Source organism: Homo sapiens, chromosome 17 (genome assembly GCF_000001405.40).
Source record: "Homo sapiens chromosome 17, GRCh38.p14 Primary Assembly".
NCBI lineage: Eukaryota > Metazoa > Chordata > Mammalia > Primates > Hominidae > Homo > Homo sapiens.
The window spans coordinates 12758614-12783782 of record NC_000017.11 but is presented as its reverse complement, the minus strand read 5'-3'; the positions used below and the strand labels follow the sequence as shown (position 1 = coordinate 12783782).

At 41.9% G+C, this 25169-nt stretch overlaps 1 protein-coding gene and 1 long non-coding RNA gene across 6 annotated transcripts in view; one reads left to right on the top strand and one right to left on the bottom strand.

Annotated features, from left to right (window-relative positions):
- ARHGAP44-AS1 (ARHGAP44 and MYOCD antisense RNA 1) overlaps positions 1–23649 on the top strand; it is a 30151-nt gene extending 6502 nt beyond the window's left edge. Inside the window, exon 2 of the long non-coding RNA NR_104607.1 lies at positions 20065–23649. This is a non-coding gene — a long non-coding RNA (ARHGAP44 and MYOCD antisense RNA 1). The remainder of the gene's footprint in view (positions 1–20064) is intronic.
- Positions 14834–25169, bottom strand: part of MYOCD (myocardin) — a 103060-nt gene continuing 92724 nt past the window's right edge. For all 5 annotated transcript variants that reach the window (NM_001378306.1, NM_001146312.3, XM_005256863.1 and 2 more), the window contains 2 exons: positions 23076–23133; positions 14834–20710 (listed from right to left, as the gene is read on the bottom strand). In NM_001378306.1, the coding sequence (NP_001365235.1) occupies positions 20139–20710; positions 23076–23133 (630 nt within the window). In that variant the 3' untranslated portion in view covers positions 14834–20138. The remainder of the gene's footprint in view (positions 20711–23075; positions 23134–25169) is intronic.

Here is a 25169-nt window from a genome sequence, read left to right as displayed (position 1 = left end):
CCAAGCTGTGCATTAAGAGGCTTTGTACATTTTCCTCTGGTCTTCTGGCACATTTACCACTGCCATAAGAAAAAACTTTCCCCCGATAGTTGCTTGTCTTCTCTCCTGGGTTCCAGAGGAACACTTGTACAGCAGACCCAATGCAGACCTTAGAATAAATTAAGGGTGTAATTGATCCATTAATTTCAGGACTGGGTGTTTCAAAGAGATAGATAAAATGAATAGATAGAAAGGCAAAAAGAAGAAAAACACACAACTTTAGAAACAAGAAAAAGGATTTAATCACAGAAGCAAAAAAAAGTGTAAGAATACTTTTGCAACCTTATGTTTACTTATTTTAAAGGAAGCTCTTAATTTGCTTGGAGAATATGAACTGCTACAAGTGTTTCTCTTCTTTTTCTTTTTTTTTTTTTTGTTTTTTGTTTTGTTTGTTTTTTGAGATGGAGTCTTGCTCTGTCTCCCAGGCTGGAGTGCAGTGGCGCAATCTCGGCTCACTGCAACCTCCACCTCCTGGGTTCAAGCTATTCTCGTGCCTCAGCCTCCCTGAGTAGCTGGAATTACAGGCGCCTACCACCACGCTCAGGTAACTTTTGTATTTTTAGTAAAGATGGAGTTTCACCATGTTGGCCAGGCTCTTTTCAAACTCCTGACCTCAGGTGATCCGCCCACCTCTGCCTCCCAAAGTGCTGAGATTACAGGCATGAGCCACCGTGCCCAGCCTGCTACAGGTTTTTCAAAAATAGGTAGGAAGCATGAGGGGACCAGGATCAGGGAAAAACTTGGAAAACTTTTCAAGGAACGACACTCCCCAAAGTAGCCAGGTCCATATGGTTTTATGGGGAGCACTTTCAAAGCTTCAAAGAACAGATAATTCTTCTGCTATTTAAAGTGTTTCAGAGCACAGAAACAAAATGAAAGCATCCAAATTCACTTTATGAAATTGCCTTAACTCTGTTATCAAACCTGATGAAGATGGCACAGACACCAAAACAACAAACCAATATCGACTACAAGAATAGATACAGGCCAGCCGTGGTGGCTCACACCTGTAATCCCAGCACTTTGGGATGCCAAGGCGGGTGGATCACCTGAGGTCAGGAGTTCGAGACCAGCCTGCCCAACATGGAGAAACCCCATCTCTACTAATAAAGTACACAATTAGCCGGGTGTGGTGGCACATGCCTGTATTTCCAGCTACTTGGGAGGCTGAGGCAGGAGAATTGCTGGAACCCGGGAGGCAGAAGTTGCAGTGAGCCGAGATTGCACCACTGCACTCCAGCCTAGCAACAAAGCGAGACTCTGTCTCGGGAAAAAAAAAAAAAGAATAGATATAAAAATTATTAATAAAATGTTAGTAAATAAAGTCCAACAGTATATGTGTTTATATATAAACATGTTACACATTTTAATGTTATTGAGGAAAAAAATTGGAAAACTCAGATCCATTTAAAAAGTGAAAAATGCCCATATTCTTACTAATCAAGATAACACTGGGAATTTATAAACATGTTTCAAAAACAGGATCAGACTGTTGTTAGGACAATATCTTCTTTCTTATCTTCTGTTATTCTAAATATCTCTGTGATCAACATGTTAATGGTTAAAACTTATTGCATATATTTACTTAAGATCAAAATCAAATAATTAAAATTTCTGCATTGAAATGTGGCATGTTTTAAAGCTTTTTATATGTATTGCCAAATTATCCTGTAGATAAATAATGGAAATTTTTGCAGTCCCAACTACAGCGTGTAAATATGCCATTTTCTCCATACCCTAACCTATGCTGAGTATTACCACTCTTAATAATCCTGCCAGATGAATAGATGAGAAATAGCATTATTATGCTGTTTCAATTTGCATTTCTTTTTACCACATTAAACATTTTCCCGCATGTTTCATGGCCATTAGTATTTCTTCTTTGGTTAATTAATTCTTCATGTCCTTAGCCCATTTTTCTGTTATAGGTCTACATTTTCTTATCAATTTTTAAAAGGTTTTTCGTCAGCCGGGTGCAATGGCTCACGCCTGTAATCCCAGCACTTTGGGAGGCTGAGGCAGGCAGATCATGAGGTCAGGAGACTGAGACCATCCTGGCTAACACGGTGAAACCCCGTCTCTACTAAAAATACAAAAAAATTAGCCAGGCGTGGTGGCGGGCGCCTGTAGTCCCAGCTACTCAGGAGGCTGAGTCAGGAGAATGGCGTGAACCCAGGAGGCAGAGATTGCAGTGAGCCAAGATTGCGCCACTGAACTCCAACCTGGGCAACAGAGCGAGACTCCATCTCAAAAAAAAAAAAAAGAAATAAAAGCTTTTTAGTCATATTAATTATACTAATGCTATTGTATCTTGTGGCAAATGTTTTCTCTAGTTTGGCCTTTCCTTTTCAACATCTGTAATGCTGATTTTTATCTTCCAGGAATTCTACTTTTTTTTTTTTTCTGAGATGGAGTTTCACCCTTGTTGCCCAGGTTGGAGTGCAATAGTACAATTTCGGCTCACTGCAACCTCCATCTCCCGGGCTCAAGCGATTCTCCTGCCTCAGCCTCCCAAGTAGTTGGGATTACAGGCATGAGCCACGACACCTGGCTAATTTTGTATTTTTAGTAGAGACAAGGTTTCAGCATGTTGGTCAGGCTGCTCTCGAACTCCTGACCTCAGGTGATCCACCCACCTCGGCCTCCCAAAGTGCTGGGATTACAGGCATGAGCCACCATGCCCAGCCAAAATTCTACATTTTTAATGTGGTCAGATCCATCAATCTTTTCCTTTATGTTTTATGCCTTTGGTTTAATGCTTAGAAAGTCTCCCTTATCCCCAAAGGATAGAAATATTTACTATATTTTTACCTAAAACATTTATGTGTTAACTTTCTTTATTCTTAGTAAACTTTACATTCAACTTCTGGTAACAAAATGTTAACAAAAGCCAGTAGTTTTGACCCATTTCTCCCTCCAATATCCATTCGAAATAACTCAGCAAACATAATAGAGCAATTCTGTGTCACTCATGGAAATTTGAGAAAGGTCCCATTCACAATCTTGTCAAAAAATGGTACAGGTGATTTCTGAGTGAGGGAGTCGTGGCCAGGTAGATTTACTACGTGTAGTAACTTTTGGGGCAAATTAAAGTAAGATCTGCATCATTTCTGACCTGACGCCTTTCTGTCCAACTCAGCTACCAAGTCTAAACTAACCAGACCTCTCTATGTGAGACTGACAAGCAGAAAAAAGACAGCATTTCAATGTAATAGTGATGAGAAGGAAGAAGGTAATAATAATAAACTATATAGCCAAGTACTACTGTAAGTGCTATGAGATACATTATCTTATTTAATCCTTAGAAGAACTCTTCGATGAGGGTTTGACTATACCTATCAAATAAACCAAGCTCAGAGGGTTTAGGTGAACTGCCATTCAAGTGTCAGAACTAGGATTCAAACCTGGGTTTTTCTAGTTCAAATGCCTGTGCCTTTATTATAGGCTATTACCTCCATAAAACAGGGAGACTAATCTGAGAATCCAGAGAAAATAGCTTCTAGTGAAAGTTATGCAAGAAGTAAGGGAAATATATTTTTTCACTCTAATTTGTATTCTTAGTGAGAACTGAGAGAACGCTGCTTTAATATAACAAGAGCTGGTTGCCATGAAGAAGAGCCACATTAAACAAAAAAGAGTTCTTGGATAAGAAACACATGACTTCCAAACTAATGAAACTCCATAGAGGCAGGAAATAGCAGATCTGGCACTGCCCAAAATGGAATTACTGCATTAGAAGATGGGCTGGAAGAATGATCCCAAAATTCAGAGGGAAAAAGTATGTAATGCAATGAAATGGTGAGGAAAGGAAAAATAGACACGGTATCTTTTTTCAAAACATTCAAACAAATATGTAATAGAATTTGCAGAGCAGATGATGAAGAAGAAATAAGCATAAAAAATACTAAAAAAGGCCGGGCGGTGGCTCATGCCTGTAATTCCAGCACTTTGGGAGGCCAAGGTGGGCAGATCACCTGAGGTTAGGAGTTCGAGACCAGCCTGACCAACTTGGAGAAACCCCCGTCTCTACTAAAAATACAAAATTAGCCAGGTGTGGTGGCACATGCCTGTAATCCCAGCCACTTGGGAGGCAGAGGTTGTGGTGAGCCGAGATCGCGCTTTTGCACTACAGCCTGGGCAATAAGAGCGAAACTCCATCTCAAAGAAACAAACAAACAAACAAATAAACAAAAAAACATTTTGCAGAGCTGAAGAAAGGCCCAAGTCAAAATTAAAATAATTCACTAAGTGCTAGAAAATATTACTGCACAGGAAAAACAAAATCCCTAGACATATCTTGATTAAATTTCTGAATTTCGAAGACAGACACACACACACACACACCAGAAAAAAAGAAGTTTTTCTCCAAAAAGAGAAGCTGGTTTGCCTCATGCTTCACATCTGCAATGCTCAATGCCAATAAAATTTGGAACAAGATTACAGGGCACCCATGAAAATAGGTCATAACTCAAATGCAACTCAAAAGTCTACATCTGGCCTAACATTCACAAACGAGGGCAAAAGGAAGTCACTTTGAGACATGTAATGACTGAAAAGGTTTATCAACTACCCATTTTTTTCTGGAAAAAAAACCTCAAAAATTATTGTTTTTCAAAAGAAATAAAAATCAAAATAAAAAACAGGAGAAAAATTTCTTCATGATCTTGTGGTAGACAATGATTTCTTAAACATGACAACAAATATTCTAATCTTAAAGGAAATATTGGCAAATTGGACTACTTAACAATTAAGAACTTTGGTTCTTAATGGTTCATCTGATGACACCATTAAGAGAATGAAAAAGGCCAAGCCCCATGGTACACGCCTGTTATCCCAGCACTTTGAAAGGCTGAGGCGGGAGGATCACTTGAGCTCCAGAGTTCGAGACTAGCCTGGGCAACTCCGAAACTCCATTTCTACAAAAAAAAAAAAAAAAAAAAAATCAATAATTAGCCAGACCTGGTGGCAGTGCCTGTAGTCTCAGCTACTCTGAAGGCTGAGATGGGAGGATCACTTGAGCCTGGGATGGTGGAGGCTGAATTGAGCCAAGATTGCGCCACTGAACTTCAGCCTTGGCAACAGAGTGAGGCCCTGTCTCAAAAAATAAAAAACAGAATGAAAAAGAAATCATCACAGTGAGACGAATTATTTGCAATACATTCAACCTTCATAAAACAGGGAGAGAGAGAACTCAACTCCAAAGTATATAAATAATCCGGATGGGTATGGTGGCTCATGCCTGTAATCTCGGCACTTTGGGAAGCCGAGGCGGGCAGATCACTTGAGCCCAGGAGTTCAAGACCAGCCCAGGCAACATCTCTACTGAAAAAAAAACAAAAATTAGCCAAGCCTGGTGGCGCTTGCCTGTAGTCCCAGCTACCCGGGAGGCTGAGGTAGGAGAATCACCTGAGCCCAGGGAGTCAAAGCTGCAGTAAGCCGAGATCAGGCCACTGCACTCCAACCTGGGCAACAGAGCAACAGTATGAGACCCTGTCTCAAAGAAAAATAGATGATAGATGATAGATGATAGATAGATGATAGATAGATGATAGATAGATAGATAGATAGATAGATAGATAGATAGATAGATAGATGTGTGTGTGTATATATACGTGTATACATGTGTGCGTGTATTTGTGTGTGTGTGTATGCGTGTGCATGTGTGTGTGTGTGTATATACACATATAGACTCCGGGGCTGGGAGCGGTGGCTCATGCCTGTAATCCCAGCCCTTTGGGAGGCTGAGGCGGGTGGATCGCCTGAGGTCAGGAGTTCAAGACCAGCCTGGCCAACGTGGTAAAACCCCCGTCTCTACTAAAAATAAAAAAAAATTTAGCTGGGCATGGTGCTGGGCGCCTGTAATCCCATCTACTCTGGGGGTTGAGGCAGGAGAATCGCTTGAACCCTGGAGATGGAGGTTGCAGTGAGCCAAGATTGCACCACTGCACTCCAGCCCGGGTGACAGAGCAAGACCCCATCTCAAAAAGAAAGAAAGAAAGAAAAGAATCCTACAAATCAATGGGAAAAAGGAAGAAACCTTCAGGAGAAACTGACAAGAGATCAAGAGATTTGAATAGTCACTTTACTACAGAGACTACCCAAATGGCCCAAGAGCACGAAAAGATGCTCAACCTTGTTAATCATCCAATATATGCCATTGATATGACAATGAAATACCACCACACACCCGTGGAAGAGCTAAAATGAAAAGAGACTGGCTAAACCAGTGTTGGTGAGGATGCAGAGCCAGTGGGACTGTCATATAATGCATTTTGGTGGGAGGGAAACCAGTACAGTACTTTAGAGAGCTGTGTTTGCAGTATGCACTAAGGCTAAGCAGTATGTACACTTCATGACCCAGCAATTTCACTTGTTCAACAGAAATGTGGACGTATTTACCACAAAAGGCACGCACTAGAATGTTTGTATTGGCAACATTTGTAATAGTCAAAAATTGGAACCACTTGAAGTCCCCATTGACAACACAGTGGATAAATAAAAAGGTGGTGTATTCATACAATACAATGAATTGTATGAATTCATAATCATACAAAGGTGGTGTATACATGGAAAGAAAAAGGAAGGTATTCATGCTTCACCTAACAGTGGATGAAAATATGGATGAATCTCACAATGGAAGCTGAGCAAAAACACCAGATCCAGAACAGTATATACTGTATGATTTCACTTACATCAAGTTTAAAAACAAGCAAAGTGAATCAATGGTAATAGAAGTCAGTATGGAATTTATCTTGGGGGAGCTGGGAAACAGTGCTGTAGTACTGGGGAGGTGGCACACGGAGGACTTCTACAGTTCTGCTAACAGAAATGTCCAATTTCTTGATTTAAGTGGTGGTTATATTGAGAATACTCATTTTATAAAAATTTATCAAGCTCTACACTTATGATAGGGCACTTCTCTGTATCATATTTTAAAAATTAATGTTTATATATAAATTAACAGAAGCTTAAACACTTGGAAATTATAAGGCAGACTTCTAAGTTATCTCTTAGATCAAAAAGGAAATCAAGAATGTAATTACAGAATATATAGAAACATACTACTATGTAAATATTGCATAAACACCCATAGTTTCACCTCAAAACTGCACTCAAAAGAAATTCATAGATAAATATTTTTAATGTTATCAGAAAGAAAGAAACAAATTATGCTTTTATCTCAAAAAGCCCAAAATGAGGAAAAATAGAAAATCAATAACAGCTGGTGGTGGTGGTTCATGCCTGTAATCCCAGTACTTTGGGAGGCCGAGGCAGGTGGATCACTTGAAGTCAGGAGTTTGAGACCAGCCTGACCAACATGGAGAAACCCCGTCTTTACTAAAAATACAAAAATTAGCTGGGCATGGTGGCGCATGACCGTAATCCCAGCTACTCGGGAGGCTGAGGCTGGAGAATTGCTTGAACCCGGGAGGTGGAGGTTGCAGTGAGCCCAGATAGCCCTATTGCACTCTAGCCTGGGCAACAAGAGCCAAACTCCATCTCAAAAAAAAAAGAAGAAAAGAAAATCAATATTAAGCAACATGGATGAATACATTCATAAAGGTAGTAGAAGAATAAGGATAAAAACAAAAATTGATTAATAAATATAAAAATTACTGTTATGATAAAACAATAAAAGAAATATATGACGAGTCCAAGAGAGAAAACATAGATATGCAACATTAGGAATGAGAAAAGGGTAGTAGCTTCGGATTCCAATTCACAAACTCAGGTGTATTTTCCATGACCAGACTTTGCATTTTCAGACTCACTCTATGGAGTAGCAGAAACAATTTTAGGCATTGAAGTTATCTCCTTTTTCCTGTGTTGGCACTCGTTTTTCTCAGGGGAAGAGGGTGTGCCATATGTAGTACCATGACTGGAGGGTGGAGGAGAGGTTGTTGAGCTTCAGCCCTGGGTTATTATTCTTATTTGCCATCATCTGCTCAGAAGCCTGTATGCATCCAATTTCTGGATGTCAGTTTAGGTCACTGTTGAATATACCCTCATTACAGACCACAAGGTTTTTTCATGAGCCTATCTCTCTTCCACCTAACTCCAATGCCTACTTCTTATAACTGCTAGGAGAAAATTCTACAGCTTCCATGCCACTCTAGATGATAAGCAACTCATTTGCACCTCTCCAAGATGCTTGGGTTCCCAGAAAACCCCCTATTGCAGTGGAGCAAACCTCCAAGCTAGGTCAGGTCTGTCTCTCTGCCTGCCTGCCTGGACCTAGCAGAGCCCTTTCCATTGTAACAGTCCATGCATTGCTTGCATGTTAACCTTAGATATATTTCTTCTCTTTGGGGTTTTGACGGTAGAGGTAGGGTGGGTGCCAGGTGCAAAAATTAAAAATACCTAGGAAGTAGAGGAGCAAGGGGAGTTATCTGTTGGTTGATCATCAGAATCTCAGGTGACAACACGCAGATGTAGAGGCCAGAAGAATAATTTTAAGAGAATGTTATGTATTCTGTTTAATCTTGATTGAGTATTCACAGTTGGGAAGGCACTGTGGTAAAGGCAGGGCTACAGAAGTAAAGATAGACAAGAATTACTCTTGAATCTTCCCTTTCTCTCCTCTCTTCTCATCCCACCTTTTCTATTCCATCAATTTCTAAGTCCTTTTATTTCTACTAATACTTATGAATATTTGCTGGATCTGCCCAGCTTCCTCCCCTCCCCCCCACCCTTTTTTTTTTGAGACAGAATTTCGCTGTTGTTGCCCAGGCTGGAGTACAATAGCGCAATCTCGGCTCACTGCAACCTCCGCCTCCTGGGTTCAAGCGATTCTCCTGCCTCAGCCTCCCCAGTAGCTGGGATTACAGGTATACAGCACCACGCCTGGCTAATTTTGTATTTTTAGTCGAGATGGGGTTTCTACATGTTGGTCAGGCTGGTCTTGAACTCCCAACCTCAGGTGATCCACCCGCCTCAGCCTCCCAAAGTGTTGTGATTACAGGCATGAGCCACCATGCCCAGCCAGCTTCCTCCACTTTTGTGGCCATCACTCTGGCCTTCTGTCTGGATATTCCAGCAGTTCTTCCCGGTCTTCCCCTCCCTCCACCCTAGCTGTGCGACTGTCCTCTGTTCCAACTGTTCTGAAATTCACCCAGCTTTTTGCAATGCAACTTATTTATTTTGCCTGTAAGTCCTCACACATGTGAATTCCTCTAGTGGGAGTACTTTTGACTCCTTCGTGGCTTTTTATGTTTTCTGTACTTTCATCTTTTATTTTAGGTTCAAGGAATATATGTGCAGGTTTGCTACATAAGTATATTGTGTAATGCTGAGGTTTTGGGTACGATTGATCCCATCACCCAGGTACTGAGCATAATACCCAATAGGCAGTTTTTCAAGCCTTGAAAAGCTCCCTCCCTCACCCTTTTCATAGTCCCCATTGTCTACTGTTGTCATATTTATAGCTGTGAGTACCCAATGTTTAGCTCCCACTTATAAGTGAGAACGTGCAGTATCTGGTTTTCTGTTTCTGCCTTAATTCACTTAGGATAATGGCCTCCAGCTGCATCCATGTTGCTGCAAAGGACATGATTTCATTCTTTTTTATGGCTGTGTAGTATTCCATGGTACATATGTACCACACTTGCTTTATCCAATCCATTGTTGATGGGCACCAAGGCTGATTTCATGTCTTTGCTACTGTTCATGCTGCGATGAACATACAAGTTCATGTCATTCTGATAGAACAATTTTTTTTGCTTTGGATATATACCCAGTAATGGGATTGCTGGATCGAGTGGTAGTTCTATCTTAAGTCCTTTGAGAAATATCCAAACTGTTTCCCACAGTGGCTGAACTAATGTACATTCCCACCAACACTGTATGTGTTCCCTTTTCTCTGCAGCCTCACCAGCATCTGTTGTTTTTATACCTTTTTTTTTTTTTTTTTTTGAGATGGAGTCTCTCTCTGTTGCCAGGCTGGAGTACAGTGTCACGATCTCGGCTCACTGCAACCTCCGCCTCCCAGGTGCAAGCGATTCTCCTGCCTCAGCCTCCCGAGTGGCTGGGATTACAGGTGTGCACCACTGCACCCGGCTAATTTTTTGTATTTTTAGTAGAGACAGGGTTTCACTTTGGGAGGCTGAGGAGAATCACCTGAGGTCAGGCAATTGTTACCTGCAATCTTCTTGTTATTAAATAAAATGAACACTTTTCAGTCCTTATCATTCCTACTAAACTGTGAACATGGGTACCCATTTACATTATGATCACAATGATGGCAATATAATTACATGATTAGTAGTTTTGCATCAATACTTAGTCCACTTCTAATTTTTGATTGTACCACTTTCTGACTCCTATCTTCACTTTTAGCATAATACTTTGCATATTCCGTAGTTCACTATTTTACTTCCTCTATAGTCATATCCTGAGCCCCTGTTTCTGTTTTCTTGCTTTCATACCCATTTCTAAAGCACCCTCAACTTGGCTCAACCTGCCTCTCTGCCTTCTCTGCTTCCACTTTTGGGTGGTTGATGCTGTTGATGAAAAGTCCTACCATTGTGCAGAAGGCATGATCTCCAGTCAAGTTTTCCAACTCTTCCCAGGTATCCTTCTATGTCTCCCAATCAGTTCTCTCTCCCATTCTCCACAGCTCTTAATTCAGACATTATCCATTTTTATTAAAACTCCCACTTCATTCATCTTCTGCCCCATAGGTGAGTATTATCTCTCCATCTTGTTTCAAGTATCAGATGGAAGCCATCCCCTGAAAATTTCCTCATTGTCCTCCCACCACACCTGTATGACCTGCACACAGACCTGCATCTCCACCCACCCTCCTCTTTCTCTCCTGCCTCAACGTCCCAAAGGCAACCTAACCTGGATCTCATTATCTGCCCCCTTTTCTCTATCTTATACTACCTAATTCTCATTAGCTTTGAAATCAGCTCATATCTCTCTCCTCTTGAAAATCAGTCCTTTAAATGTCTGACTGTCTGCTATGGTCTTGTGTGTCTTCTTCTTACATTGCCACACTTCTTGAGAGAAACACCTGGATTCACTGTCTCCACTTACTGATCTCCTTTTAATTCCTCAGTTTGTACCCACCTGGCCTCGCCACTACATCCAAATTGCTCTCACCTTGATTATAAACCACCTTCTTATTATTAAATCAAATGAACACTTTTCATTCCTTATCTTAGTGGAACACAGTAGCATTAGAAGGAATTAAAGACCCCCCTCTTTTCTGGAATTTTCTCCAGCCTTAGTGCTGGGAATACCAGCCCCTCCTGGTTTTCTAGCCACTCCCTCTCATTCTCCTTTGCCGATACCTTAAATGTTGGCATTCCTCAGGATCCTCTTTTATTCTCACTCCACATACTGTATAGGTCATAGCTATTCTCATGATTTCAGTTAACATCTGAATGCTGACCCCTTTCATATCTATATCTCCATTGAAGGCACTCTGAGCTCCAGACCTCTCTAGTGAAGACTTTTGGCTTGAGTGTCCCTCAGACACCAACTGATCAAAAATCAAATTCATTATTTTTCCTATCAAGTAACTCTTCCTCATCCTGGTCTTTACTTCTGTGAATGGCACTAACATACACTCAAAATTGAGCTCTTCCTCCTCCAAATCCAGAACCTCTCTCTCCTTTACCATCCACATCCAATGATCAAGTCCCGTATTTTCCATTCTATTAACATGTTTCAAACCTACCTTTGTCTCTCCATTTCCACCACCATCTGCCCTTTGGCTGGGTTATTGCCATGAGCTAAGTTGCTACCTTTACTTTTGCCTGCCTCCCAAACCCCATCATTCTTTTTTTGAGACTGAGTCTTGCTCTGTCACCCAGGCTGGAGTGCAGTGGCGTGATCTTGGCTCACTGCAACCTCTGCTTCCCAGGTTCAAGAGATTCTCCTACCTCAGCCTCCCATGTAGCTGGGACTACAGGCATGTGCCACCAAGCCCGGCTAATTTTTGCATTTTTAGTAGAGATGAGAGTTCACCATGTTGGCCAGGCTGGTCTCGAACTCATGACCTCAGGTGATCCCCCCGCCTCGACCTCCCAAAGTGCTGGGATTACAGGCATGAGCCACCCCACTTGGCCACCCCATCATTCTTTATGTCCTAAATTCGATATGTCGGGTTACTCATCATTTCTCATGTCTGTAGAATAAGGAGGGTACAGCAATTTATCAGATGAATTCACACAAATGTACTATGCTGCCCTTCCCGTGTCCTTGACACTCCAATCCACCCTGTAGCTGGAATCATCTTTCTAAGGTGAAAGGGTTATGACAGCACTGTCTTGCTTAAAACTCTCCAGTGATGCCCCGCTGTCTTCAAAACAAGTCTAGACTCCTCAATGTGTCTTATGAGTCCCTTCATGGTCTGGCCCCCATCTTGCCCCCTATTATGGGTTGAATTGTGTTCCCTCAAAATTCCTACATTGAAGTCCTAACCCTCAGCACCTCAGAATGTGAGCTTACTTGGAGCTGGGCCTTTACGGAGGTAATCAAGTTAAAATGAGGTCATTAGGCTGGGCACGGTGGCTCACGCCTGTAATCCCAGTACTCTGGGAGGCCGAGGCGGGTGGATCACCTGAGGTCATGAGTTCAAGACCAGCCTGACCAATATGGAGAAACCCCATCTCTACTAAAAATACAAAATTAGCTGGATATGGTGGCAGGCACCTGTAATCCCAGCTACTTGGGAGGCTGAGGCAGGAGAATTTCTTGAACCTGGGAGGCAGAGGTTGCAGTGAGCTGAGATTGTGCCATTGCACTCCAGCCTAGACAACAAGAGTGAAACTCTGTCTCAAATAAATAAATAAATAAATAAATAAATAAATAAATAAAATGAAGTCATTAGGATGGACTCTAATCCTAGACAGCTGGAATCCTTATAAAAATGAGAAATTTGGACACAGAGATAGACACATACAGAGAGAAAATGATGCGGAGATACAGGGAGAATGCCATGTGGACATGAACATGGCCATCCGTAAGCCAAGGAGAGAGAACGGGAGCAGCTCCTTCCCTCACAGTCTCAGAGGGAACCAACCTCACTGACAGCTTGATTCCCAGCATCTGGCCTCCAGAACTGTGAGGCCACCCTGTTTGTAGTTCTTTTTTTTTTTTTTTTTGAAACGGAGTTTCGCTGTTTCACCTAGGCTGGAGTGCAGTGGCACGATCTTGGCTCACTGCAACCTCTGCCTCCTGGGTTCAAGCAATTCTCCTGCCTCAGCCTCCCGAGCACACCATCACGCCGGGCTAAATTTTGTGTTTTTGGTAGAGACAGGGTTTCACCATGTTGGCCAGGCTGGTCTCGAACTCCTGACCTCACGATCCGCCTGCCTCGGCCTCCCAAAGTGCTGGGATTACAGGCGGGAGCCGCCACGCCCGGCCACTGTGGTACTTTCTTCAAACAGCCCTGGCCCTCTTTTCTTTCCTACACTTCTGCCAGCGGCACCCCTGCCTCCTTGTTCTACCATCTACATCCCCTGAATACTGTCAATTCTCTTAAATCTTCAGGCCTTTGCACAGGCTATTTCCTCAGTCTGGAATGCTCCTTTCCTTAGCAGTTTGCCTGCCTAACTCCTGTGTCATTTAATGTCTTGGCATAGTGCCTTCCTCCTCTGGAGAGTTCTTCCTGGCCATCCATCCTTCCTCCACCTCCACCCACCAAGACTTTATTAAATGCCCTTCTGGTAGCACATAGCATGCGATTATCAGACTACGCATTATTCCCTATTTTCTTGTCTCCTCGCTAGATGGCAACTTCCTGAAAGTAGGAATTATGTCATAGAAATCTACTATTTCTGCTTTTTCAGCACCCTTTGGTACTAGCACCCCAACTTTCCCTTAGAAAAACTCACCTTCCCTACTGCCAGTCCATGAGATTCAAATGATCCCACTCCATAGCTCAGGGCCGAGCAGGGTATCCAGCTCCTGTGCATGTATTTATATCCGCTTCTCATGGCCATAGATACGGATTCAGGGATGACCATGACCTGCTGGGACCACTGAGAGCAAGCTCTGAGATTTCTGCTAGGATTCTCAGGACTGAGAAACTCTCTTGTTGCTGGAATTGCTACATGTGGGGCTGCTGGCAACCCATGGCCTTGTTGATTCTACATAGGAGAGCCCACCAGAAAGTAAGGCTGACGCAGGGGCAGAGAGAGCTGTGGTAGGGAGAAAGATCAGTTCTTAGCTAAACCAGGGCTTGGGACATTTGTCCATTCCAGGGCTCTTTTCACAGTCTGATATTTCCCCTATGTGGTTAATAGGTTCACCAATGACAAAATAATAGGCAGGAATAAATTTAAGAGGAAAAAGTAGATTAAAAACTAGGTCTTATTCAGGAAGTCTATACATATAGGCCTCTTGATACCCAGTTTATCCTACATTATTATTCAACTTGCTCAGTTACTAAACTGATGAAAACATTGAATTCGCTAAGTTGTATATGTATGTATGTATCTTAATGGGCATATACATAGCTTGAGAATCTGTTTTGCGAAAGTTCTGATTGTATTAGTATGATCCATAGTAAGTATCAGTTCAGACAGTTTGTGCAGTGCTTAAGATCCGGGCTTTGGAGGCAGGCAAATCACAGTCTGACTCTTGGCTCTGCCATTTCTCAGTTGTGTAACTTTAGGCAATTTACGTATCCTCTAAGCCTGGTTTCTTTATTTGCAAAAATGAGGATAATAATGGTACTACTTCATGGGCCCATTGTGGGAATAAAAGGAAATAACACATATAAATAGTACATAGCATAAGGCCTGGGTACATCACACAGCCACGAAAAAAAAAAAGTTTTACATTTCTTTTTAAAATAAACATTTTATTTAAAAATATATGCATTTTTTTTTTTTTTTAAAAAAGAACACATGCCAACTTTGGTATTTTAGCCACTGCTTTTTGTCTCTTCCCAATAACCCACATTTCTTTCTGATTATGCTCAATTGAGCCAAAGAGACCAACGTGAAAACACCACTCCACAAGGTCCCACAGAGAACCTATGCTTGCTCTTTTTTTCTTTACAAAGTGTCTCTTTGTGCTTCACTGAGGGAGGATTTTAAGCACCCAGCAATACATTGTCCTCCGTTCTTACTGCAGGGCCATTGGAAAGGAACTCTGGGGAGCAGTGTGGGTTCCTTTCCTTTGGAAAACATTAAAAAAGCTTCCAGCATCCCCATCATTATACTCCCCTTTTCCATGAACACACAGGAGCTATGAAACCACTTCTAGGAAATGCATGCTCCAGGGTTCACGATGGGAGCAGATGGTTAAAATAAGCACAGGAGACCTTCTGGCGTTGGTTTGTCTTAATCCACAGGGAAAATCGCTGATTCCCAGAATCAAAAGGGAACTTACTCACATGTTATTGCATTCAATGAGTCCTGTGATAATTTCCCTGGCAGATGACAACAAAATTCTTCCCAGATCTCATCCTGTCTTGAAATCGTCTCCCCATGGGTAGGCTCAATCTAGCCAGGGTTTCTCTATAAACCTGGACTCTAGAATCAAACCCAGCTCCTTAACGCAACTGACCAGATCTTGGCACTACAGGATTGTCTTGTTCCAGGACCTGGGCTCTGTGTGTCTATCAGTATCATCTGTCTAATAAAGCACTGGCAATTTTGACCCTGAACCAACCTACAAATTTATATTGGATTTATGAGAAAACCAAGAACCCAGACTCTTCACTACAGGTTTTCTCATATCTGATATTTGATTGCAAACTGTGTACCAGCAATTTTGGGAACTTCCTTCTGTGAGGAAGGCAGCTGAGGGCTGTGGGGGGAAATCAAATTGCCTTCATATTCTTAGATGATTTTCTTTTAAGGGCCAGAGGCTCACCAGTAAGTGTCCCTTTTGTCTATAGAGCTGCTACGATAAGTAGGGATAGGACACAAAAATGCTTCCTCCACCCTTTCCTTATTTTCAAGGGGCTTCTGTATCTGGCAATCAACACAAATCTTCAAACTCTCGTGGATGTTTTAAATGATGGGAGATATTAAAAGATCTCCAAGTGATAGACTACTGGTGTTTGTCCACAAAGAAAAAGACAAGAATTTTGAAGTGAGAGATAGCTTTTAGCTAAAAAGTGATCCCCACCTCCACCCCCTCTTGGAAAAATGAAGACCCCTTTTTTTTTTTCATCGTAGCTGAAAGGTTTCTAGTTTGAGGACTGGGAGATTCTTAGTGTTCTTGCATGTGCAAATACAACTCCCTGGTCATTCAAATCTGAACAATCTGTGCTGAATCAATTCAGTATTGTTTATCTGAAGATTTGTGTGCTCTGCCCATGGTGGGCATTAAATATTAGCCACTGGATGAGTAAATTTGTTGTGGGAGTTTTCAGCCAGACCAGAATCTGTTTCTAAAAGAGCTGATTGACTTTAAAATAAATAACATTTGGAAAGGACTATTTTGAATGCTTGGGATAGGTTTTATTGATGCTTTTTTTTCAGGTTGGACATAAATGTTTTTGAATGGCAAAAGGCTGACAGTTCTCAGACCCTCTATTATTCAGGTGAAGATTGTCTTGGTTTCCTCAATTACTGGTACAATTATTGTAGTGCTAAGAATGACTTCTCCTTAAAAAAATTCTGATTTACTTCTCATAATGTGACAGCTGAACTGAGAAGTTCATAGATCAGAAAGTTTGGCCCTTTTTTCCTTCCCTCCTTTCTTTCCTCTCTTCTTTCCTTCCTTCCCTTCTCCCTCCTTTTCTCTTTACCCCCCTACCCATCTCCTATCTTCCTTCCTCGCTCCCTCCCTCTTCTTCCTCCCTCCCTCCCTCTCTTCCTCCCTCTTTCTCCCTTAGAATAGAATATGTGTTGTCTCAATAACGTTGATAGAAGCAGGGTCACTACTAATAAGCACTGGCTTCCTGCAAGCACTTGCACGAATAAATTTTTTGACTTCTTTAGATAAGTATGAATCTACCAGACTGCAGCAGATAGCTGCAAATGTCTTCAAGTCTTCATCACCATGGGGGTTCAGAGGTCTTAAGAAAACTACACATGGTCATCTTCAGGTTCTAAGAGCATTAGGGAACTTGAATGTGACCATCTTCGTAAGTCTCTGTACATCTTTTAGTCATGCCTGATTTGTCATCACAAAAGACACAACGAAGAGTTTAAAAGAATTTAAAATAAAATTCTCAATGGGAGACAAATTCATGGATTATCTGATCTACTGGAAGCAGCCAACTTCATCAATTTTCTCCCAATTATCTCCAGTTTTCTCCCTCAAATTTCATGTCTGAGCTATGAAGAGAGAGGGTGAATGCGGTTTGTGGAGACTGTAGAAGCAGGTTGAGAGCAGTTATCCAGAGATCTGCTCTTTTAACTGTGTTGGTTTGCATTAGGATATAGGAACCATTTTATCTTTTGTCTTCCGTAAGGCATATCTATCAGTCCTGGGTCATAGCCTCAAAGATCCCCATAAAAAGGTACAATCTGGAGAAGTACAGAGGCCTCCTAACTAGGTCTAGTCTCTCAGATAGAAATACCCAAGGAAAAAATAATTAACACTCAGTCCCAGGTCTCAGAGTAGGGGCACTGTGTGAGTTTGTTTTCCAAAGGAAGTAAGGGGAAGAAAAAACATACAAACAGCAAAACGTGACACCTGAAAAGTGCACTGACCAGCAAGCTTTGTCAAGACCCCAAGAAAACACCAACAGCTGAGGAATGAACAAATGTGTGGAGTGTATTAATAAGGTTTTCTTCCCCAGTAGCTTCATCTTCAAAGGAAACACTGGCAATTTTTTCTTCTGGATTTTTTTGGTTCTGATGACTGACATAAAAGCAAAATAAAAAATTTACCATGTGGATCTTTTAAAGCACAATACAGATAAAAGGAATGTAAAATGATTTTCTTGTTCCTTTCATATTCCTCTATAAGAGACTGTGATACCATTTCCAGCTACTAATGGTGAAGCTGTTCTGTCTTTTCACATCCATATTCATTGCCAAGATGAGCTTGTTCACGATAAGCAAGTAGCTGTGAGTCATCGGGTTGGAGCCGTTAGTCATACACAGAGAGGCAACGTGTAGTCTGGTTGGTTAATCAGAAATTCATAGTGAGAAAGGCCAGGTATCATTCACAGCAGATTAAGGGTTAAAGGCTTTTGGTGTAGAACTCTGTAACGCCGCTTTTGGAGATACATGCACACACAGATATAATATACACATATGTATATATCTATTATACATACATGTATGTTTGTGTGTGTATGTGTATTCCTCCACATCCCACCCCCAGAATAAGATCTGGCAGCTTTCAGAGTAGCAATCACCAAAAACTCTCTGTGTTCACACATTTTTACAAGTTAACAATGGAATGACTTCTAAATCTTTGGTTTATCAAAAAGAGAGCTTCTAAAATCCCAACATTTTTGATTATTTTTTCTATAAGTGCACAGTGAACAACTTTTTTTTTTTTTTTACAAAAGATAAAAACAGTGCCTTAGTGATTTAAATAAAAAAACAAAACAACAGCAATAGCTCCTTTCTACAGCATGCAACAATATAAAATGGTGAACTGGAGCCACAGAGAGCCTTACAGAGACTGTTCTGAAATTTTAGCTTTTTCCAACTCCCAGCCAAAGCCACGAGAGGTAATGAGGAATGCACATTAGACCATTGTCTTTTTCCTTCCATCGTTTTCAATGCGCAATTCTGTTTTCTTTCAAAAACCCAGATCTGAAATTCTCTCTTGTAAATATCATCCATATTTGTCTTTACAATGTAATGATTTCCAATTTCCCCAGAGCAACACAAACCAATAATTTCTTGAAAACTAAACGAGAATAGAAAGAACTTCGTGACTGATGGACCAAGTCACCAGTTTCTTCCTCAAGAAATTCTTGCAACTTCCTTTTGCAGCAAACTGTGCGTGTGGAGAATGAGTTCTCCAGAAGAACCTGGATTGTTAAATTTTTCAAAAATGGCTTTCTTAGGAGTATGGCAGCTTGTTAGAACTGAGAAGTCCTCCCCTCCCAATGTGGAGGCAGAAAAAGAAAGATGGCCAAACGAGGAACAGGAAAGGATTGGTACCTTGAAGGAAAAGTGGAGTGGGAGAAAGATAAACTGATAATAACAAAACAAAAGGAGAAGTTGGACTCCCATAAGTAATAGTCCTTCTATAGGAACCCAGGGTGTTTATCCCAGGGTATGTGAAATGATGTTATTCTCTAGTCCTGTCTGAATTATCCCTGGTGGGGCTCCCTTCCTGTGCCTCGAGATATACTTCTACCAATGTGGTCATCTCTAGTCTTTGGAACTAAAGGGGGCTGTGTTGGAGAGCTTGTGGCATCTCCTTCGGGGGAAGAAGGTCTGCATTCTTCAGGGTTCTCATCTAGGACACGTACTTATCAGCACAGAGATGGTGGGAATGATTGGGCCACTAGTTAAAAAAGAAGAAAGTTCCGAGTGGAGTTCTGTGGACTCAGTTCAGGTTAATTGTTATTAGTGACCACATCGAGTCCTGGGTACAGGTTCAGAACCACTCCAGCAGGGCAGTTTTGTGGTAGAGGGAAAAGAGAGTTGATTAGCTTCCCTGGAAATCGATTGGTTTTGTTCCTCTGTCTCAAGAACTTTTGATCTGAAGCTGGGTCTGGCTTCTCTTTTGAAAGATAGTAATGGAGACATTGGGCAACAGCTTCCATTGCAGGTATGTCTTCCATAAGCTTTGAGGGGCTGGCTTCCCTGTACTCCCAAAAGACTACGTTTTCCTTCCACGTTATGTCTAGTGAATTCATGAGAAAAGCTTACAGTGTGAGCTTATGCCCCAACAATGCCTGAGAAAAATTATGGGCTAGAAAATATACTGGTCTTTGAAAAGGCAGTGAAATATCTTTTTTGGCATCCTTAATCTGAGAAAGCACATTCTTTTAATGCATTGTTGAAATCATTAACAGTTACTGACTGTTGGTAAATATTACAGTATATGTATTTCTAAAAATGACTTTTGTTCTTGTTCATTGGCACAGAAATCATTGCTTCTTTTTAATTCTCTTCTTCTTCTTCTGTTTTTGGACAGTAAAGTATGTATGGCTGTGTGCTTTCCCCCATGGAACTCCATTGGTCTTCCATAGCACTGGTGCATTGGGCATTCTACCACTGCTGCAAGTGAAGGTCCATGGAAGAATTCAAATTGAGATCAGTGACATCCAGGAAATCGATGTTGAAGATGCTGGGGCTGCTGGTGGTGAGGGCGCTAAAGCCTGGTGTGGAATTTGGCGGAGTGAGGTCCAGCCACTCCATGGTTTCCCAGGGAGATTCAGTGAAGCTTAACTGCAGCCCATTGCTGTCCACAGAAGAGGGTGAAAACTGTGTCTGCATTGGAGAGAGGGGGCCTGGCAAGATCTCATGTGCATTGAAGAGGTCTTCTGCAGCCTTCCCAGAGAATCCATCCATTATCCCATCAAAGTGAGGCTCTTCGCTCCCAATTTTTAGAAGGGTGACATCACTCATCTTTCCTAGGGGGCTCTGGGAATTTAATAAGACTTCAAGATGCTCATCACTGTCGGTGGCATAGGGATCAAAGGGGATCTGGCTGCCTGAAGAGGCTTGTTCAAAGGAAGCCGAGGGCTTGGTGAGGACAGCAGTTGGACTTCGGGAAGATCTGGGTATCTTTGGGACTTTTTGAAGACATGAGTGATCCTCTCTAGCGTCTGCTGGCATTTCTGTGGGCAATACACGATGTGACTTGTTAAATCACTTCAAATTGAGCATGCCACACAATATGAGTGAGTTACACTTAGATACAGAAGATGGCCACGCTTCCCTGGTCACCGCTCACCACCCAGTCTCATCTCTAAGCTGCTCTATCAATCTCCAATTCATCTTCCCTCTGGTTTTTCCCAAACCCTTTCCTCTTGGGAATTCCACTCTGTGATTATTAAACTCTCTTCTCTGAAGGTTCCTGGCCTACTCCTCTGACCCCTGGTAGTCCCTTGAGGACACTGAGTCCATCCCAACACCATCAGTGAGGGCCTGAAGATGAGGGACCAGGCGCCATGCCATTGCCACTTTCTGATTGCTACTCCCCCCGCTTCTGATGACAACTCAGCAGTTTTGGGTTTTGAGGGTGACAGCAATGCCTCACCCCTAGCCTCCTGGTCACTCCCCCTCATCTACTGAAAACTCTGCTTCCTACTCCATTGCCTTTTCCCCACTTGAACCCTTCTCATTCTGTAACCTGAGCATCCTTGGAAATCACAGTGTTCATGCTGGCCTCTGAGCTCCCGACTTCCTCCTCAACTCCAGTGATTCCCCCACTGCCACTCTGTCAGACACACCTTGGATTGTGTCATCTCCAAATACTGCATCCCTCTGAAAGCTCACTTTCAAGCTATATTTTCTATTCTCTGTCCATCCTCTCCCAACCCTCCAAGCCACTTATTATGTACCTTGTAACAATAATTTCCCAACCATTTACAGTCACACTAATCCATAGACTCTACTATGTTATCACTGTCCACCAGCCCCTCTGGTCTTCACTTCTTTCCTTGTCTAGCCTGTATTTTTGGCAGAACCCCACACCTGGAGGAACCTGATCATCTGCCTTCGCTGAGCATGCTCTGGATCAGCAGAACATTGCAAGAGAAAAATTAAACAACTAAGCTGACTTGGTTTCACTTTAGATTTCTGAGGTCAGACCTACAACTGGCATTTAAGACTGCAAAACAACCCAGCTGTGTTTCTCCAGAAAACTCAGTTCATTCATGATTAAGTCATAACTGCTCTTCTTCCCCTGAATCTTCCACACTCCCCTTCTGCATCCTCACGCTTTTCTGGCCTTGCCACATATTTCATTAAAAATATACAAGGGCAGGCTGGGCGTGGTGGCTCACGCCTTTAATCCCAGCACTTTGGGAGGCCTAGGTGGGCAGATCACGAGGTCAAGAGATTGAGACCATCCTGGCCAACATGGTGAAACCCCGTCTCTACTAAACATACAAAAAATTAGCTGGGCGTGGTGGCACGCGCCTGTAGTCCCAGCTACTTGGGAGGCTGAGGCAGGAGAATCGCTTGATCCCAGGAGGCGGAGGTCGCAGTGACCCAAGATCCCGCCACTGCACTCCAGCCTGGCGACAGAGTGAGACTCCGTCTCAAAAATGTGTGTGTGTGTGTGTGTGTGTGTGTGTGTGTGTGTGTGTGTGTGTATGGGCATCTGATATGAACTCTTCTCATCTTTCCATTACAGAACTCATTTACATACATATGTTTGTACCCATCTCTTCCTTCTTCCCTCTTGCTACAATGGAGGAAAGGTCTGTTCACTTGCTTGTTGTCTGTCTCCCTTACCAGACTGTAAACTCCATAGGAATCAGGATCTTGTCTGATCATAGCACGGAGACTATGACAACGCCTGGCTACCCCTTCTCTGAGTCCTTTGCTACCTCCGTCTCTGAAATTTTAAATGTTTTTGGCTTAAGGATTCCTCCCTGAGTGCTTTTATTTTGATCTACACATGCTCCTTAGGTCATCTTATTCATTTGTGTGGTTTAAAATTCTAGGTACACACTCCATAATTTTTTAAGTAAATAAATGAACAAATTAAAAGGTGACAAAAAGAACATGCTGATTATGTTTTATTGCTAGCATGTATAACATTTAAGCATGAATGAACCATCCAGTGGAAGGTTGCTAATTGAATTTCACTTTGAGTAGGTAGCACAAAATGTTCATTATCTGCTTTTTTCTTTTATTATAATTGAGAAGGTAGGGGCATTGAGATTAGAACATAGAAAGAAGAAGTGCAGCAAGAGAAAACACTTAAGGAAACAAGGATTAGGCTGAAACATGAAAACTATTAAAATGATTGCTGAAAAATGCTCCTAGGACAAAGGCAGTGAGGAATCATCCACTAAGCCTTCTTTTATCAGCTCTAAAAATGTGCGAGAAGCTCAAAGGAAATGGCTCTCCCTGAGGACTACCTGGTACATCCAACTCACAGTGTGCATCTGATCTTGGTACCGAGAGTTCATTCCTTAGAGTTCATGTGGGCTCAGAATGTCCTAATGGACAGGACACAGGCAGTCTTACCTCCGCTTTCAATAAGCACGTCCAGGAGTTCATCCATCTGCTGACTCCGGGTCATTTGCTATTACAAATTAACCAAAGGAGGACAGACAATTTAGAAGGTGGTTATCTCCGTAGGAAATCATTAGAAGCAGCACTGCAAGATTTTGAACTAGGTTTGGTCAAGGTATTTTTTTTTCCAATTGTGGCAAAATACACATAACTTTAAATTTACTATCAACCATTTTTAAGTGTACAGTTAAGGGGCATTAAGTACATTCACACAATTGTGTGACCATCACCACCATCTGTCTTCAGAATTCTTTTCATCCTGCAAGACTAAAATCGTGTACCCATTCAACCATAATTTCCCACACCCCATCCTTTAGCCCCTGGCAACCGCCATTTTCCTTTCTGCCTTTACGAATTTGACTATTCTATCTAAGTCCCTCATAGAAGCGAATCGTACAGTATTTATTCTTTTGCAACTAGCTTATTTCCCTAAGCGTAATGTCCTTAAGGTTGATCTATGTTGTGACATGTGTCAGAATTTCTTTTTTTTAAAGACTGAATAAAATTCCATTGTATAGATATAACACATGTTGTTTATCCATTCATTTGTCAATGAACATATGGGTTGTTTCTACCTTTGGGCTACAGTGAATAATGCTGCTATGAACATAGGTCTATTGCCTAAAAATTTTTAAACCATGTCTGATTAAGCTTCAGTAGTAATTTTAGGCAGATAATCTACTGAATGAAACAGTCTACTACAACAGGAGAAGGGAAAAAGAAGGCAGAATGCTTTCTAGCACAGGGTACTTTAGAGTCGGTTCAGTTGTTTGAGGGGTTTTCATCCCAGGAGCAGGACATCTTAATAAATAGAAAATGTCTTTTTACGCTCTTACTTTGAAGTGACCTGAATCTACCTCTTGCTTGGTTGCTCCAATGTGGCTCAAGAACTTGGCTCATATTTTGATGGTTCCTCATGGCAGTAGCTTGAGGAACCTGTAGACACCAGTAGGGTATGCCCCCTCCTCTCTGGCTCATCTCAGTAGAGTCTTATTTCTGGATGTCCACTTTGCCTGGCCCTTTTCTTTTGAAACTGAAGAATCGGCTGATGTTTACAGAAACCAGGGGAGAGGAATGGGGAGAACAAAGGCATATATCCATCTCACTCCTCTGAGAGCCCAGACTCAATAAACATAGGTATCGGTAATCAATATGGATGGGAGCACTGACCAAAAAATGAGTCATTTATCAGTTCAGAAGGTACCAGATGCCTAAGGGTCTGGCAGGTAATGGAAATGAACTGAATATAGAATAAGAAAAAGAGGCAGAGAGCAGAGCATAGCTGTGGCTCAAAGTAGCAAAAGAACCTTGGTTTAGGCAATTGTTGTCTCGCAGCAGTGTGGCTCCTGGTTTGCCAGATCCTCTAATTTTTTAGAAATGAGAAAGCCCACTCTGCATACCATCTCCTGTTATTTAAAACATTCTTTAAGCCAAACAAAACTTAACTGCAGGCTGACTTTGATCTGTGGGATACCCATATGTAGCAATTGATGTAAATGTTCTTCTCTGGGTTGAGCACATATGAAGGGCTATCGAATACCTTATCCAAGCTCAGACTATTTGAAATAGGGGATCATTAATTGTTTCTCTTTTTCTTTTTCTTTTTTTTTTGAGATGGAGTTTTGCTCTTGTCACCCGGGCTGGAGTACAGTGCTACAAACTCGGCTCACTGCAACTCCACCTCCCAGGTTCAAGCAATTCTCCTGCCTCAGCCTCCAGAGTAGCTGGGATTACAGGCACACACCACCACACCCAGCTAATTTTTGTATTTTTAGTAGAGATGGGGTCTCACCATGTTGGTCAGGCTGGTCTCAAACTCCTGACCTCAGGTGATCCACTCACCTTGGCCTCCCAAAGTGCTGGGATTACAGGTGTGAGCCACCAGACCCAGCCTTGTTTTTTCTTTTTCTTACTTTTTAATTTTGAGACTTTCCAAATCCAAATGAAAGTAGAGGATACAGTGAACCTCCTTGCATTTATTATCCAGCTTCAATACCCGTCAGTGTTTTGCCAGGGTCACTGAATTTTAAAGCCAGGGAGAACCTT